Source organism: Homo sapiens, chromosome 1 (assembly GCF_000001405.40).
Source record: "Homo sapiens chromosome 1, GRCh38.p14 Primary Assembly".
NCBI classification, from domain to species: Eukaryota; Metazoa; Chordata; class Mammalia; order Primates; family Hominidae; genus Homo; species Homo sapiens.
Window position 1 is genome coordinate 91,394,901 of NC_000001.11, and position 18,060 is coordinate 91,412,960.

General features: G+C 37.5%; 1 protein-coding gene and 1 pseudogene across 19 annotated transcripts in view, besides 1 other annotated feature; one reads left to right on the forward strand and one right to left on the reverse strand.

Annotated features, from left to right (window-relative positions):
- HFM1 (helicase for meiosis 1) overlaps window positions 1-13,107 on the reverse strand; it is a 147,242-nt gene extending 134,135 nt beyond the window's left edge. For 11 of the 19 annotated variants that reach the window (XM_017000490.2, XM_017000491.2, NM_001017975.6 and 8 more), the window contains exons 1-3: window positions 9,898-9,937; window positions 6,112-6,209; window positions 1,393-1,505 (exon numbers count right to left, since the gene is read on the reverse strand). In XM_017000490.2, the coding sequence (XP_016855979.1) occupies window positions 1,393-1,505; window positions 6,112-6,182 (184 nt within the window). In that variant the 5' untranslated portion in view covers window positions 6,183-6,209; window positions 9,898-9,937. Of the gene's footprint in view, window positions 1-1,392; window positions 1,506-6,111; window positions 6,212-9,556; window positions 9,642-9,680; window positions 9,938-13,087 lie in introns of those variants that run through there. The other 8 variants (NR_165455.1, XM_011540852.3, XM_011540851.2 and 5 more) reach the window with 8 other exon arrangements.
- Window positions 9,532-9,911: a silencer, noted in NCBI's record as "silent region_1066". NCBI's record gives its function as "represses an Ori minimal core promoter by ATAC-STARR-seq in GM12878 lymphoblastoid cells {active_cell/tissue: GM12878}" and the evidence as "EXISTENCE:reporter gene assay evidence [ECO:0000049][PMID:35858748]".
- Window positions 17,749-17,825, forward strand: LOC124904661 (uncharacterized; annotated as a pseudogene).

The following is an 18,060-nucleotide window of genomic DNA, read 5'->3' on the forward strand; positions in this document are numbered from 1 at the left end:
AGAGGCTTTGCAAGAATTTTTAGGGAAGTTTAGGGGGAATTTGGACGTCTTACTAGAACTTAAATTTGCTTTAGCATCTATGTATCTACATTATACACTATGCTATATATTATTTGATATAAGTATATATATAACATATATGTAAATTACAAAGCTTAATAATAAAATGAATGTGCATGAACCTATGACCCAATTTAAAAATTAAAATTTTACTAATATTACATTAGGTCACATACATTGTTTGAGTGTGCTTGTTTTTGAGCTTTTTAAAAATGGTATCACCCTATATTTAATCTTCTGCATCTAGCTTTTTTCACTCAATATTTCTGGGATCTGGTTACCAGGCGATCTTACCTTTAGGAAATGGCAAGGCAAAAACTGAACAGCAGTGATAGGAGTTTAATAGTCACAGAAAAAATATTCATAAAACAAAAATCAAAACATGTAGTAGTGTATTATGTGCATTTATGTACACGTATGTATGTGTATTATATGTATAGAGAAGAAAAATATTTTAAATTTTAAGATTTGGTGGGCACTATTTTGTTTTTGGGGGTATGTATGTATTTAGAGATGAGGAGGATCTGTTTGTTTGTTTATATATTTATTTATTTATTTAGAGATAGGGTCCCACTATGTTGCCCAGGCTGGAGTGCAGTGGCTATTCACAGACTCCCAAGTAGCTGGGACTACAGGTGTCAACTGCATCCAGCTTGGTGAGCACTCTTTTTAATAAAAGAAGGATCTGACTTTCATTTTATTTCATTAAAATAAAGAAATTTTAATTGTTTACATAACGAGTATACATATTTTGGGGGGGTATCTGATATTTTGATACATGCATATACAATGTGTAATGATCAAATCAGAGTTTTTAAAAAAATATTGCCATGAACTGTATGGGTTTGGCTTCACAACAAATATGTGATAATTTGCCTAACAGTTTATTACTTTTTTTTTTTTTTTGAGACAGAGTCTCCCTCTATTGCCCAGGATAGAGTGCAGTGGTGCAATCTCAGCTAACTGCAACCTCTGCCTCCTGGGTTCAAGCCATTCTCCTGCCTCAGCCTCCCGAGTAGCTGGGACTACAGGTGTACACCACCACGCCTAGCTAGTTTTTTTGTATTTTTAGTAGAGATGGGGTTTCATCATATTGGCCAGGCTGGGTGATCTGCCCACCTCGGCCTCCCAGACTTTCTAATTCTTCCTTTAACTCCTGAGTATCTGAAATTTCTGAAATCAATACCCAATATGAGTATACATATTTTGGGGGCATATGCATTATTTTGATACATGTATACACAACGTGTAACAATCAAATCAGGGTTTTTTAAAAAAATATTGCCATGAACTGTATGGGTTTGGCTTCAAAACAAATATGTGATAATTTACCTAACAGTTTATGACTTTCTAATTCTTCCTCTAACTCCTGAGTATCTGGAATTTCTGAAATCAATGGAGCAGGAGGGAGAAACCAATCCAATGACTTTTCATTGTCTGGATGGCTATATAAAATATAAAAATGTGAGTATATATGTTAATAAAGATATAACATGAGAAGCTATGTGTTTATTAAACATTACTCAATTGGACTCTTAAACATTCTATAAATTAACTTTCTGTCAGCACTTTGATTTATCCCTATACAGCAGTGTTCTCAACCTTTTACCCTTATATATCATAGGATTAATGATACCGCTGTGTGAGATATGCTACCTAAATAATGGCAATAACTCTATCTCCTTTTCTCCAATTCAAATGCCAGTAACAGGAATCTTAAATCTGCTCCAATATAAAAACAAAGTAGTAAATCATTCTCAAACTTTAGCATTTTAACTATTACAAGTAACAAATTACTTGACATATCTCACAACTAATCACGGGTCATCAATGTGTAAACGATACCATTACTGGTATTCCAGAGCTGGGATCCCCAACCCCTGGGCCGCAGACTGATGCTGGCCTGTTAGGAACCCGGCTGCACAGCAAGAGGTGAGCAGTGAGCAAGTGAGCATTACTGCCTGAGCTCTGACTTCTGTCAGATCAGCAACGACATTAGATTCTCACAGGAGTGCGAGCCCTATCATGAACTGTACATGAGAGGGCTCTAGGTTGCATGCTCCTTATGAGAATCTAACTAATGTCTGATGATCTGAGGTGGAACAGTTTCATCCCGAAACCATCTGTGGAAAAACTGTCCACAAATTCAGTGTCTGGTGCCAAGAAGGTTGGGGACCGTTGTTCTAGAGTATTCCTATAACATTATTACAAATTAATGTCCTAACCGAAATATTCTTAGTCCAAACCATCTACAAACTACAGAAAAATCCAAGAAATCATTTGAAACTGATGACCTCTTTATAACCTATAGTAATTGATATTTTTGCCACCCTGTTGGCATCATTAACTACCCCTCCTCATCTTTCAACTGTGATCGTGTTAACTGATACTGCTTTAATGGTTCCTTTCCCATCAAAGTTGACTTGTTCTTCATTAGGACAAAAAGATAAGTGTTAGGTGACAGGAAATAAAGTTGAGAAGAGCATCATATATTTTGTCTATACCAAGTCCCAAAGATTTTATGATCTAGTCATTTAGGATGTTACGCTCTCTAAAGTGAGAAACTCAGTCTTTTACTTTTCTGTCTCTCCGAGCACCTAGCACATAGCTACTCTGACCATATTTTCCAAGTAAAAAATCTACAACACATTATCTGGCAACGTCTAACAGACTGTTTAATAACAAGCCAGATCTTTTAAAATTTAGGACTGTGTCAGAGGGTCCCCAAGATCACCCCCAGTTCAATAATATCCTAAAATGACTCATAAGACTCAGCATGTAGTCCTACTCACGGCTACCAGGACGAAGTCCAAGGAAAACCAGGCATGAGCTTTCAAGAGTCTTCTCCCAGCAGACTCTGCGGGAGGCACTTAATTATCTGAGTAATGACTTAGGACAATACCCATGAAATGTTGCCAAAGAAGGGAAGCTCTTCAGGGACCCAATGCCCAGGTTTTTATTGGGGGCTAACATTAACATAAGCATCCCCTGTCTGGCACACACCTAAATTCCAGAATCTCAGAAAAAAAGCAGGTGTTCAACATAAACCACACTATTTGTATAAACAGTTTACACATAGTAAGCCACTGTTGTCAGTTAATGGAAGGGATCTTCCTGAAATCTAAGTTCTCAGACTCTAGCCAAAGCCGCCCTCGCAAACAGGCCTTTTCAAGAACAGCAGTTTAGGTCTGCTATATTAACTCTTTTCTACACAAGGACTATTTCAGAAAACCTAAGAAAGAGGAATAATAGCTGTACTATTCTGCCTCTTAATAAAATCAAATCTTCCTTATAATTTCCCAATTTTTTTCCAGAGGTGACATCATCATCCCAGTCACCCAGAATCCAAACCATAGTATCTTTTTTACTAACTATATCTAGATACATATTAGGTCTTACTGTATATTCCTTGTAATGCTTCTTAAATTTATCATTTCCTTTGTGTTTCCACGGTCATTATCATAATCAAGGCTCTTACTAACTTGTTTTAACTGCCCTCACTGCCTCCAGGCTTTCTCTCTATTTTACAAGTTCCTACCACATTCATTTGGAATTGTTTTCATTACATTACTCCATTCAAAATTCTTCAATGGCTTTCAAAGATTGCCAAACTTCCTAGTGGCCTTAGACCACCTTATAGTTTTAACTCTCCTACACATACCTTACAGTCCAAACTAAACTGAACTCCCTGTTGTATAACAAATAGATAATGCATTGTCTCTCCTCATCTTTTTTTTTTTTTCCCTCCTGAGACAAGAGTCTCACTCTGCCACCCAGGTTGGAGTGCAGTGGCCAGATCTCAGATCACCACAACCTCCACCTCCTGGGTTCAAGTGATTCTCATGCCTCAGCCTCCCCAGTAGCTGGGATTACAGGCATATACCACCATGTCTGGCTAATTTTTGTATTTTTAGTAGAGATGGCGTTTCACCATGTTGGCCAGGCTAGTCTCAAACTCCGGGACTCAAGTGATTCGCCCACCTCAACCTCCCAAAGTGCTGGGATTACAGGTGTGAGCCACCGTGCCTCGTCACTCCTCACCCTCATTCAAAGATATTTACTCAGCTTGCCCCTGTGCCCTGCCCCACTCCGATATCTACATGCAGAAGTTCTACTATTTTATTCATTCATTAATCCATTCAGTAATTACTTACTGAGTACTATGTGCCAGGTATTGTTCTAGGCACTAGAGCTTATATTCAAAGGCTGGCTCAAATCCTACCTTTTCCAAGAAATCTCCCTAGGTTCCCAAAGATTTTCTCCTCCCTTCTTCTTATAGAGGGAACCTATAATATGTATTATAGTCTGCCTTGAGCTGTGTGAATGTACAGATAGATAATAGAGAGAAACAGATAAGCAAATGGATAGCTTTGACAGATAGATATTTGATACTCCCTCTAGATTATACCTACAGTTTTATTTTTACGTCCATTTACATCAGCAGTACTTAGCAAAGTCCTTTACATAATTTCAATAAATAATTGTTGATTTAATTCAATGGCTTTTAACCCACAGTGAATTATATCCAAAATCCTTATTCCAGCATTCAACGCACATCACCATCTAACCTCAACTTAGAATTTCTAACTTTATGTCCCAAAGTTCCTCCTTCATGAATTGTCTATTCCAGGAAACTTCTCTACATGTTATCCCTTAAAAGTACCATGAATGTCCTATCTCCATTCTTTTTCTCTTGCTCTAACACTCTGCCTTCAAATGCCCACTTCTTCTCTTTCTATAGGAATTATCAAATCCTTCAAAGCCTCCTGAAGTCTCCCCCTACTACCCAAAAAGCCTGACCTGACTGTGTACTCCAAGACGACCTTCCTTCCAAGTCTGAAATTTCATTGCATGAACATATGCTTGTCATTTGCTTTGCACATATTTTTGACCATATTTTCAGAAAAACAACCGTATATTACAAAATTTGCATTGGCCAGACCTGATTAACACATGTTGCCCCAGTTGGATGTGCTCTTTCACTCTCAAAAGTGTCACAGTATAGATGATTATTTACATGGTCCTATTACTTATTAATGTCTTTCCATTTGTGTGTTTAATCTCTTCAACTAGATTTTAAGTACTTTGTAAGTAAAAGTCTGTTTCATCCTTTTTATAACCCTTTCAACTTTCAATCAATATTTGAATGAACAAGTAAAATAATGAGGCAATTAATACACCTCATTAAAATAGGATAATACAATACACTAAAAATACACAGAAAATTCAAAATTGAACAATGCACATGAAAATCCATAAAAGCCAGTATTTAACATACTACCTACTCTCTAGTCTTGTTTTCTTTGGTCTCACATCTTTATTCCCGCCCCTACTTCCTGCCAGCATTTAATGTGCCTATCATACTTTGCCTTTGGCATACTGTCCATTCTGTTTCCAGATGGTGACGTCATTCCTTGTCCTGAGCTACTCTTTGAGCATTATTTCCCATCTTTAGCTTGGCCAAAAATAATCTGAACAAACCAGAAATACAAATAAATGCAAGCCAAATAGGCAAGAATCTTTTTTTTTTTTTTTTCTTTTGATAGAGTTTCACTCTGTTGCTCTGGCTGGAGTGCAGTGGCGCCACCTTAGCTCACTGCAACCTCCGCCTCCGGGCTTCAAGCAATTCTCATGCCTCAGCCTCCCAAGTAGCTGGGATTAGAGGCATGCGCCACCAGGCCTGGCTAATTTTTTTGTGCTTTTAGTAGAGACAGGGTTTCACCATGTTGGCTAGGCTGGTCTTGAACTCCTGATTTCAGGTGATTCACCCGCCTCAGCCTTCCAAAGTGCTGGGATTACAGGCGTGAGCCACTGCGCCTGGCCCAAATCTATTCTATTTTTAAAATTATAACATTTAAGATGTTAAACTTCAGTTACTCCCCTATACTACTGGTAAGAGAATTCCATGTTTACCAAATATGTAACTGAAATATCGTTCTGTTGATTCCTCATTTTTATTTGTATATTTACCAGAGAGAAAGCTAAAACTCACCCAAATTCAAAAAACCCTAAAGTAATATACTATGCTATCAATCTTTAAGGGAGACTTACTTTTCAACTTCATCTGGTTTTTCAAAAAACAAATTTTCCAAAGAAAACAGGCAATCATTTGATTTCAGCATTGTTGAAAACTGGACTTTGTCATAAATCTACAAAATATGGAAAAAGTAGTTTATATTTTATTTATAAAGATGTAAAAAAATATTTCTGTATAATCACTAATTTTCCACAGTCTCCTGTAAAATATAACCACAGACTATCCTTCCAGCTTCATCGTCTGCAACTTCCTTCAAAGCACCTCAATATTCACATACATTATTCTCTGTTTTCCATTCATTCATGGATTCACACTTGCTCCCTTCTCTTCATAGTGCTCCAATGCTTGGAATGTGTTTTCTGCCATTCTCCAACTGGCAAATTCCTAACCATCCTTCAAGTTATAGGTCAAATGTCATTTCTTCTTCAAAGGCTTTTCTGAATTTGTCTTCTTCCTCAAGGCAGAATTAATCAGTCTTCTTGGGCTCTTAATACTTTGTTCACACCATTATTTTCAAGTTAGGACAGCACATTTTATTGTGAATGTGTGCACCTCTAACAATATACTATGTACATATGCAGGGATTTGCTTCAAAATAAAGGGGAGAGATGAAGGAGTATTGAAATAATATTGACAATGAGTTGATCAAAGCTAAAGCTATGTAATAGGTACATGGGGTTCATTATAATATTTTTTCATAGGTTTGAACTTTTTCAAAATAAAAAAATTACAAGTTTAACATACATATGCATATTTATTTATATGAGTTAATGCATATACTACACACGTTTACATTCTTTTTTAAAAGATAATTTTTGCACTCAGAGATATTATCTAAACATAAAGGATAAAAACATTCAGCATTGGCCACCTTTGAACATAACAAAAATCTGGGGCTGAACAAAGATGCAAATGTGATTAAAAAAAAAAACTAGTCTCTAGATACATACATTGCTCCCATTAGAATTATTTTTCCCTGCATATCCTATTTTTTTCTAAATTCTTAAACATCATAGAACATTCTATATGACAAACCATAAAATCAGACGAACAAACTGTAAAACATAAATCACATTTCTGTTTCTTCTGTTTTAGTTAATACATTGTAAATTTGTCCTCAAGATAGAAACTACAATCAAAGAAATTCTATTAATGCCATCTAGTGGAGAAATACGCATTACCAAGTCAGATTATGTCTCTCCAATTTTGAATCCTCCTTGATGTGGGGATGAGATACAAGTGGGAGTGATATGGGGAAGGGAGAATGTTTCCACATACAACACTTGACAAATGCTACTGTATGAGAACTAAACCTGTATATATACTTCAGGGCTGTTCTTACTGATATAGAATATTGTGGGGTTTTTCACTGTTTTCGTTATTGGGTTCTTCCCCCTTCCATCTGTTTAATATAATTGCCCTCTTCATTTTTCTCTATCTATTAATCAGTTACCAACAAAAACAAGTAGTAAAAATGAAACAAACTAGTGTGGTTCTATAAATGTCTAAAACAATTTGACTATACGAAAAATAGAAGCCTAGGATAATAGGGCAGGAGGTAGAGGGAGTCATTCAGAAATATGCGAAGTCTTTAACAGCTTTAAGTAAACAATTTCAGAACTTGAAAACAATTATCTGAAAAAGTATAAATGAAAATGTTAATCATGTTTTTATATTGCCCAAAAAGTAACAAATAAAATGTTCCCTTTCTAGTTTTAGGAAAACTATGTTCAAACAAAAGAAACTTTTCCTAAAATAAACCTCACCAGACCAGTTTCATATGGCTTTGCTACCTCAGAATTTAAGTCAAAAATCTTAAGGCTAACATTTATACACTTGAATACTTTCTTCCTAAAGCAACTACAAATAGACAACAAAACTACAAATTTAAAACATTTGGGAAGAAAAGCGTTGCATAAACTGACAAAAACCTCCTATACAAACAGCAAATATTTTCAAAAGAATTTTTGATTTCTAGTTCTAGCATACAAGAATATAACTTGTTTGGGTTCAGAATAAAAATATCATGTACATATTTTAGTTCTTATATACTCCTGTGAAAAAACACCCCTTATCTAAAACTGCATCCTCTCATTCCGCATTATTTTTCTTCATAGCATGAACTGATAACTAACATTATAGTATATGCTTAGTTGTTTATTATGTTTCTCCCTTTAGAGCAAGCAGGGACTTTTTGCTCATTAATGTGTTCCAATAACCCAGAATAGTGCCTGGCACACAGTAAATGGTCCATAAGAATGCATTGTGGAATAAATGCATTAGCAAGAACCAGTTTATAAAAATAGTGTCAAATAAAAATAATTTTCTGTTAATTTAGAAACTTAAAATTTGAGCCCCAATCTTCAACGTTCAGTTAAAAAATGTGAAATTTTTTTCTAGTTCAGGATTTATGTAAATAAAATCATGAAGGTTCTAAAAGATGATGAATTTGGCACTTTCATTATGTAAATCTTTTTTTAAAAAAGAAACACAGGTCCTAAAAGGGACCTTGCTACAGTTCAGTATGAGTTTGTGATGTGAGGGGATGCTATTTTAAATTAATTAAAGTTCTAGGTTTAGATTCAGATTTTTTAAGTTCCTATTATTTATTATTAAAGTTTTAGTTTCAGCACGTGGCACAAAATTAGATTGCCAAACACAATAAACAATATCATCCCAGGTAGTTTTAAGTGTCTGCTCTGCTATAATCACTGTTAAAATACTTAAGCTATTTTTGAGTCTACATAATTTGCGGTGCCGACCTTCTCTAGTTATATTAATGACAATCTCTAGTTAAATATTAATACAACTAGATACAATTAATCTTTAGTTATATTAATGACAATTCACCATTTTGTCTTCTGTAATCTTTACTTATTGTATAAAATTATTGTATACAATTATTGTATAAACTTATTGTATAAAATTGCAGGCCTATTACTTCTTACAATTTTTACTCAGAAACATACTCCTTATTTTAAAAGTACAGAAACTCAGATAAAAATTATTGATTTGCTAGAAATTTTTGTGAGTTAAGGAAGAAGTAGGGACCAACATTTACGGGAATAACCGACCGTCACAAATAACTGCAGAGAATCTGACAAAGAAGGAAAAATCAACGGGAACAAATTACTCCGAGGCTCGGCCTGGGAAAGGACCATACAATTGTCGGAGCCCCAGATCTCACCCCCTCTCCCCAGGCACCAACAGGGCTGGCTGGAAGGGTCCGGCTGGGGACCGAATCAGCACCTAAAGCAAAATAACAGCTCTGTGGATTTCCTAAGGAGAATATCCTAAATCCAAGGCAGAGGCCTTAGGGCCCCGAGAGTGGCACAAGAACGGGGCGCTGGGGCGCGTCACTCCACCCCCCGGGTCCCGTTTCCTCCCACCGCTGTGAAACCCGCGGCTCAGACAGATGGGTACGTCCCCCCCAGCGCTCGCTCAGGGGGCGCCACACACCGGAACACAAGACACAGGAACCGAACACCAATCAGCCGACTTTAGGGGCGGGCCGGACGCCCAGCCGGTCCCACCTCGCGGGGAGCTGGGCCCGCCCTGCGCCCGAGCGCGCCGCAGGCCTCACCGCTTTCTGACTGGAAATGCGGCTGAGGCGCTGGCGCGGGCCGGCGGCCTGGAGACGCCTGGTGACCAACAACTCGCCGCGCCCGTCCGCTGCCTGCCCGGCAGACGGCTCTAGAGATCGACCGCTGCCCGGACGGCTCGGCTGGGTCCCCACTTCCCCGCGGGCGTCGGGCCCCCGTCCCCACCTTCCCCGCGGGCGTCCGGGCCCCTCTCCTCACCTCCCTGCGGACAGCTCCTAGGCCAGTCGAGCGCCGATTTATCAGCCCCTCTGAGGACCGCCAAGCCTGGCTAAGCCGAGCTCCAAGCAATGGATCGCCCAAGCCCCCAACCTCTCCCTTCCTACCTTTTTTTCTCCGAAAGTTTATAACTGGTTTTGAATATATCTCTTGCAGTTTACTGTGTCTATTCTCTTTAAATACAGCTCCTAATCCTGGGTTCTAAGGGTCTACTAAATGGTACCCTTTCCCTAAGCTAACCTGCTTCTCTACCCCCACAACCACCACTCCACAAACATACCCCAACCTGCCTTTCTCATCAAAGTTAGCCAGGCCTCAGCTCTGGGACTTCCGGTCTCTTCGTACCTAAAAAGTGTTTTACCTATATTATTTATAAAATATCACAGTGGCACTCATGAGGTCGGTATTACTGGGGAACTTGATTCAGAAATAAAGTTAAATTTCAGAAATAAATATTCTAAAACACAATGATATTTAAATGTGTTTAGCCAACATGAATTTATAAAAACAGGGCAATAATGTGTTCTTAGGCTGTAAACATGAACAAACTATAAATTATCCTTTTAAGTTTCTTTAGAATTGTCCTCTGAAGATTTGGCAGGGAATGTTTTGTAGATGATAAAATAGCAACGAATCAATGATGCTTTTCTTACAGAGACATTTATCTTTCCTTTGGAAACCCCCACCTGTGACATCTAGGGCCAACCTACTGCTGTCTGACTGCCCTATTCCTGTTCTCTTTTTTCTTGCAGTTCTACTGTTCATTAGCTATATGACCTTGGAAAAGACCCAACCTTTAAGTCTTAATTCTGCATCCTCAGTGATACTCATAAGCTCTAACTCCTAGATACTGCTGCAAGGGTTAAATAAAATAATATTTGCAGTAGTCCTACCACACAGTAAATGCTCATGAATATTAATTTCTTTCACCTTCTCTGAAATGTAAAATTATTCCAGTAATTGGGTGAGCCAGTTATTTGGATACTGATAAAATAACAAGTCTTTGTCTCTTGGAGAAAATAACATTTTGACTGCATAAACTATTCTTAATAGAAAGGTTGAATTATCATTCCTCTCAAAAATACTGGAGAGGAAAGTTACTTTCCATAGACTGCATAGAGGAAAATAACGAAACAGTGCATTTGTTATAGTGAACCCCTCAATGTGTTGAAATTCATACATTGAATTCTAACCCCCGATGTGATGATATTTGAACGTGGGACTTTTGTGAGGTAATTAACTCAAAAGGGTAGAGCCTTCATGAGTAGGATTGTGCCCTTTTAAGAGGCCAGAGAGTTAGCTCGCTCTTTTCCTACCATGTGAGGATACAGGAGGACGGTATCTGCAAGCCAGGAAGGAGGCCCTCGCCAAATACCGGATCTGCCTGCACTGTGATCTTGGACTTCTCAGGCACCAAAATTGTGACAAATGTTTGTTGTTTAAGCCACCCAGCCTATGGTAATTTGTTATAGCAGCTTGAACTAAGATAGGGTTTGAGTGATAGAATTGTAGAATTCAGCAACAGGCAGGTACAGGGGAGTCTTACTGTCAAAGCACACAGTAGCAAATGGCCACCATGTTCATAAACAAAAACATTCATTCATTCACTCACTCATTTATTCAAGAATGCATGTGGAATCTATAGAGCCTTACTTTCTCTTAAAATAATGTAATAAAAATGTCAAAGCTGCAGTTTTTAAAAGGAAGCCTCAGGACAGTGATAAAGTTACTAAAAATCCCATTTTGGGGGGAGGGATTACCATGGTTTTTAGTAATGTTGCCACATTTCTCAAGAAAACATTTTAATCCTAAAGATTTAATTTTACAACCAGTGCAACAATGTCATAAGCAATCCTCCAAATTGAATAACATAACTAACATTTGAAATATAGTCTTCCCGGTCAACTTCTGGCATGACTGCATAAAGAGCTTTGCTACCTCACTTCTCAGTGAAACTGGTGAAAATTCTAGAAAAATGACTCAGACCCTCTGGAAATGATCCTAAGGGCAAACAGCAAAAGAAGAAACATCTTTTCAAGAAAGAGATACAAAAATTTGGTAAGAAAGGCAAGGCTCTGTGGTATTTTATCCAAGACTCCCAAGTTCCAGCTTAGCAAGACAGGCTCCATTCTAGACAGCTGCAGCCAAGAATACAGAGCTCTCTCTGCACCCAGCTCCCACTAGAAGGCGCGCTTTCTTTCTTTCATTGTGGTAAAACATGCGTAATATTTATAATTTTAACCATATATAAGTGTATAATTCAGGGACATTAAATACACTCATAGTGTTGTATAACCATCACTCTTATCCATACCCAAAACTTTTTCATTATCCCCAACAAGAAATTTGTGCCCATTCAGGGAGGGGAACTTCACACACTGGGGCCCGTTGGGGGGTGAGGGGCTGGGGGAAGGATAGCATTGGGAGAAATACTTAATGTAAATGACGAGTTGATGGGTGCAGCAAACCGACATGGCACATGTATATCTATGTAACAAACCTGCACGTTGTGCACATGTACCCCAAAACTTAAAGTATAAGAAAAAAAAAAAGAAATTTCTGCCCATTAAACAGGAACTCCTTCTTTTCCCCTTTCCCTAATTCCTGGTAACCTCTATTCTACTTTCTATTTCTATGAGTTTACCTATCCTAAGTACTTCATATAAGTGGGATCATACAATATTTGTTCTTCTATTTCTGGATTATTCACTTAGCATAATGTTTTCAATGTTCATCCATGTTGTAGCATGGATCAGAATTTTACTCCTTTTTAAGGCTCAATAATATTCTATTGTATTTATATACCACATTTTGTTTATCCATTTGTAATCCTGGCTAAGGGACATTTGAGTTGTTTCCACATTTCCACCTTTTGGCTATTGTGAATAATGCTTCTATGAACATTCGTGTGTAAATATCTCCGTTCAAGTCCCTGCTTTCAATTCCTTTGGATATGTACCTAGGAGTGGAATTGCTGGGACATATGGTAATGCTATTACAGCCAATGCCATGAGTTCTAGCTGATGTATCCAACATAACCAAAATTTTCTTCACTTTGTAACATCCACATCTTTTACACCCTGATTAGTCAGTAGAAATTGATATTGAAAAATTAGTCTCAGGCTGGGCAACACAGCGAGACTTCATCTCTACCAAAATTTTAAAAACTAACCAGGTGTGGTGGTGTGTGCCTGTAGTCCTAGCTGCTTGGCAGGCTGAGGCAGGAGAATGGCTTGAACCAAGGAATTCCAGGCTGCAGTGAGCTGTGATCCCACTACTGCACTCCAACCTGGGCAATAGAGCAAGATCCTGTATCTAAAAAAGCAAGAAAGAAAAAAGAAAAATTAGTGTTGATGGCTCTAGAGAAGCAGGAACCAAGAAATGTTGAGGTTTCAAGACTATTTTTCTGCAGATGACAGCCAGAAATGTGTTGTGTTTTTTATTGTCAGATTTGGACAAGAAACAGTGAAGAGATCATTTGGGAAGAATCTGAGAATTACAAAATTAATTTCTGAGAAAAAAACAGAAAAAAAGGAAATAAAGGTAGTTTGATATGATGGGATTCTCAGGAGGAAAGAAAAGTTTAGGGAGTTAGGGCCAATTCAGTAGATACTTAAATAACAAAAGGAAGACTGAATTAAGCACAAACCAAAAAAAAAAAATCTTTCTGTTCTTTCTTTCTTTTTCTTTGTTTCTCTTTTCTTTCTTTCTTTCTCTTTTCTCTCTTCCTCCCTTCCTCCCCTTCCTTCCTTCCCTCCCTCCCTCCCTTCTTTTTTCCCCTTCCTTCCTTTCTTTCCCTCTTTCTTTCTCTTTCTTTTCCTTCTTTCTTTCCTTCCTTCCTTCTTTCCTTCTTTCTTTCTTTCTTTCTTTCTTTCTTTCTTTCTTTCTTTCTTTCTTTCTTTTTCTTTCTTTCTTCAGGGTCTTGCTCTGTTGCCCAAGCTAGAGGGCAATTATGTGATGCCTCACTGTAACCTCATGGCTCACCATAACCTCAACCTCCTGGGCTCAAGCAACCCTCCTGCCTTAGCCTCCCAAGTAGCTGGGACCACACATACATACCACCACACCACACCCTGCTAATTTTTTAAAAATTATTTTTATTTTTTGTAGAGATGAGGTCTTGCTATGTTACCCAGGCTGGTCTCAAACTCGTTGCCTCAAGCAATCCGCCCACCTTGACCTCCCAAAGTGCTCAAACAGAAAAACAAGTGGCTTTGAAGAAATATATTAGTACCAGTATAAACATTACTGGTGTGAGCCACCATGCCTGGCCAGGATAATTTTTCTTTAGGAAAGATTTAGTAAGTATGTATGTAACCAAGAACATAATGACATAAATTGATTAGAAAGCAATTCCTTGAGTTCCAAATGGCTAAGGAGAGTGTTTAATGGTGTTGTATAAGATCCTATACTCTTATTTCAGGAAATCTGTTTTTTTTTTTCTTTTCAGGCAGAAATTGACTCCTCCTACCAAAATGAATTTAAAATATTTTCTGCTCTCCAAAGTCAAGAATCTTGATCCTAATAGAACTGCCAGACAGGGTGTTCCAATTAGGCCTAGAAGCAATGCACCATACAACGACAGCCAGCTAAGGTATATTACAAAGAACATAAGCTTTCCATAGAAATCAGTTGAGAAAGATTCAGCATTCAATGGCTGTTCTTTGTACTTGACTGTATAAGTAGATTCTAAAATGTGTTAACACAAACCCTGAACTAGGAAGCAAATATCCCAGTATATAAACTTGAGGACAAAGGGAAATATTCCACAACAGCATAGATTATTTCCTAAGTAAAAATTAATGCCAGTTTCTTCAGGAAGAGTATGTGGGGACTCATAACCAGTGTATGCATGTTTTATGGTTAGTTGTATTCAGGTTTGTGAGGCAAACTATACATACTTCACATTGAGTATACTAGGTTTAGTCATTCTTAGCAAATTCTTTTGCCATTATTATAAAGTCCCCGTATAAATAAGAATTAACAATTAACATATTCCTTCAGGTGGTTAGTGTCTGGAGTAGACTTTACCTGACTATTATAATTAAGATTCTGGCATCCAGAATCTTATATAAGATTGTATTAATGAAACATGCAACATATTATATCTTCAAAAAGATTATTTAAAGGAAATTTTAGAAGCCACTGACAGATATCTTTAAAAGATATTTAAATGTCAGAAATCAGAGTAGAAAACATACTTTTAAAAAAGCATTTTTGTTATGTTTTGTTTTGTTTTTTGTCTCAGGCCAAAAAGTAATTGGCAGTATCTTGCAGCCATATGATCAAAGATTGATTAATATTATATATATGTTGTCCAGAAATAAGATAGCTTCTACAGGTGATATAATTTAGTAGTTAATCAAGAGATATTGCAACGGTACAAATAACCAGTTAAGATACTGAACAAATTGATGTGTAGACAGAATAAGAAATAAGAAACACTGTGTAGAAGTAGAAATAATGCATTTGTCTGGAATCCTTTCCAGGAAATGGGGAGAGGGAAGAGATGCTATCACAACTGGCAGATGATTATTCATTTGTGATATATGTTGAGTTAGGATGCATTTAAGCATGGGTTATCTCATGTTTAAATTTGTCAAAGCATTGAGAAAGCACAGTACATACAATAGCATATATTTTAGCATCTTGAGTAAAAAGCATCTTGGAACAAAGTTGAGAGTGTTGTATACATGTCTACCCAGAGTCTGAAGCCACCACAAAAGGAAATAGACACATCAGTTTTACACAACATCTGCCACCACCAATAACCACTAGAGAAGGAAAAAGGGATAAATTTGAACATTTTCTCTAGAACTTCTGGCTGCTTTTGGCTTCAACCAGTCCTGAGAACATGAAATAGCTTTCAGGAGGGAGAGGGAGATGTTGAAGTGCAAAAGTAATAGAGCAGCTCTTTGGTAGGGAATGAGTGGTAAAGTTAGGACCCTCTCAGCCCAGTGCCCAGCACCCTAAGGGAGACACATTTGCATCCAGGGAGCAGCAGATGGAGCAAGATGCAGCAAGAGAAGCTGCAGGGACCAGCCTGTGGAGGAGAGGCGGCTTAAGCAATACTCACAGACCATTCCCTGGGCCTGGCCCCACTAAGCCTTCCAGAGTTGAGAATCCTGCCTTGGGCGAGATCTGCTAGCCTCAGAACAACATGTTGCCAGGGTAGAGGCGCTGAAGCAGGCAGCAGAACTGTCACCATGGCTGCAGGGGCAGTTCTAGAACTAGGAGCTGTGAAATCAACCAGGAATGTAAGCCTGGTTTATGAAAAGTATATGCTATTATGATGGTTCATTGAACTGATTGCTAAAACCAGGAGTTTGTCAAGCCCCTTCTCCTAGTTGTCAGCTGGGAAACCAGAGGGACTATTGAGTAGGGAGTGTCAGAGAATCTAGGATTCCAACAACTGGGACATGTTCTCAGAGTAATAATGCTTCATGGTTTTTGGTAGGAAATGAGTTACCTGCATGGTTATTTTGCTTTGTCTAACTCAGATTAGTGGCCTATGAAACATCAGTGTCACAACAAAATTTAGTAGCACTCTACGGTTTAAAAGCACTTGCTCATTTAATGGATGGGGAAAATTTCTGAGAATTCATAAAAATGGTGTTGTGTGCATGTCTGAATGAGTGGCTGAGGGTAGGTGCCTTGTATGTGTGTGTTATGGGGAGGGGAGGACAATGGCATGAAACCAAGCAGATGGAGAACATATTAGATACATATATTAGATGTATTAGAACATCATCCTTCCGCTAGTAAATAGAGTACTGTGGGTTAAAGCAAGTCCCAGTGAAAGAGTTCTGCCCAGAAACACAACTCCAAAGGTGAAGTCTGAGGATTTAAGAAGACATGGAGACCGAGTGGGAATTAAAATTTCATATGCCCAGAAAACAACAAGTAAGATAAGAGAGTAATTAATATAAAAGTAAAATGAGTTAATGTATATTGGACATCTTTCAGATACCTGTGAAGTAAAAGAGCTATCAAACTGTAAGATGTCATTGAACATTAAGAACTTTATCTTTATTCACCTATTTTATGTGTTTCTTAATTAACAGAAAATATAAAATTTGCTACCCCAGAAAAAAAATGACAGCATTAGCTCTGAAAAGGAGTCCTGCCAATTCCTGCAATTTGTGCTCAGACTGTCTATTCCATCCACACATTAGGAATGAGCAAGTAGCTCACTCAAGTAGTAGGAAGCTTCTTTTTCCAGCAGGATGCTTTGTATCACAAGTCATTTGGGGGAAGTTTTGACAAAATAAGTTATTTTGTAGGCCATAAGGTATAATACTGGGGAGTTTAAACATATTTTTTTTCTGGACAAAAGTACCATTCACATGATTTAGCTGATATTTTCCCCAAATTGGGAAGTATCCTAGACATGAATATTTGATATCTAATACAGTGATTTTGCCTGAATTCAATTCCCCTATATGTGATCTCCAGCTCTTTCTACAAACCACACTATTTCCCTTGAATAGCAGTTAACACTGATTTTTGTTGTTACTTAAAGATTACAATCAGAAGAAGTATATTTTTAAAATATCTGGCTTTGAACAAATTCCCATTTTATTTGTAATATCTACTGCTGTCCACAGTGGACTTAAAGCATAAAGATTTTTTCTTTCAACTTCACTCCCAAGTGACATCTTTCCCAACATATTCATATACACAAGTCACATTAAAATATATATAGCAAAGAATCCTCTAAACAGCTATTTCTCCCAACCTAACATCTGAGCTGCCATATGTTATGAATGTTTTGAACTCACAGAGATTTTGTAGCAAGTCACAAACCTGCATGGTCTGAAAGCACATGACTGCATCACTTCTCAGCCTTTTGGCTAAGATCAAGTGCAGTATTTGTTATTAGTTTAAAGCACATGACTGGAAAAATCTCCAACATCAGAAATTAGGGGCTAATGATACATATGCAAATAGAAAAATGGATACAAATTAAATACAAAGCTAAATGATTCTTTTCAAATCATACCGAAAAATTTTTTTTAATTTTCTATGATTACCCTAACATCTAAACCAAAAAATATTTTTAGGCCTCAGTAACTTGTGATCAGAATGTCTCAGTTGATTTGTATTTCTTCATTGAGAAAGTTTCTCAGAAGTTTCTTACCCATA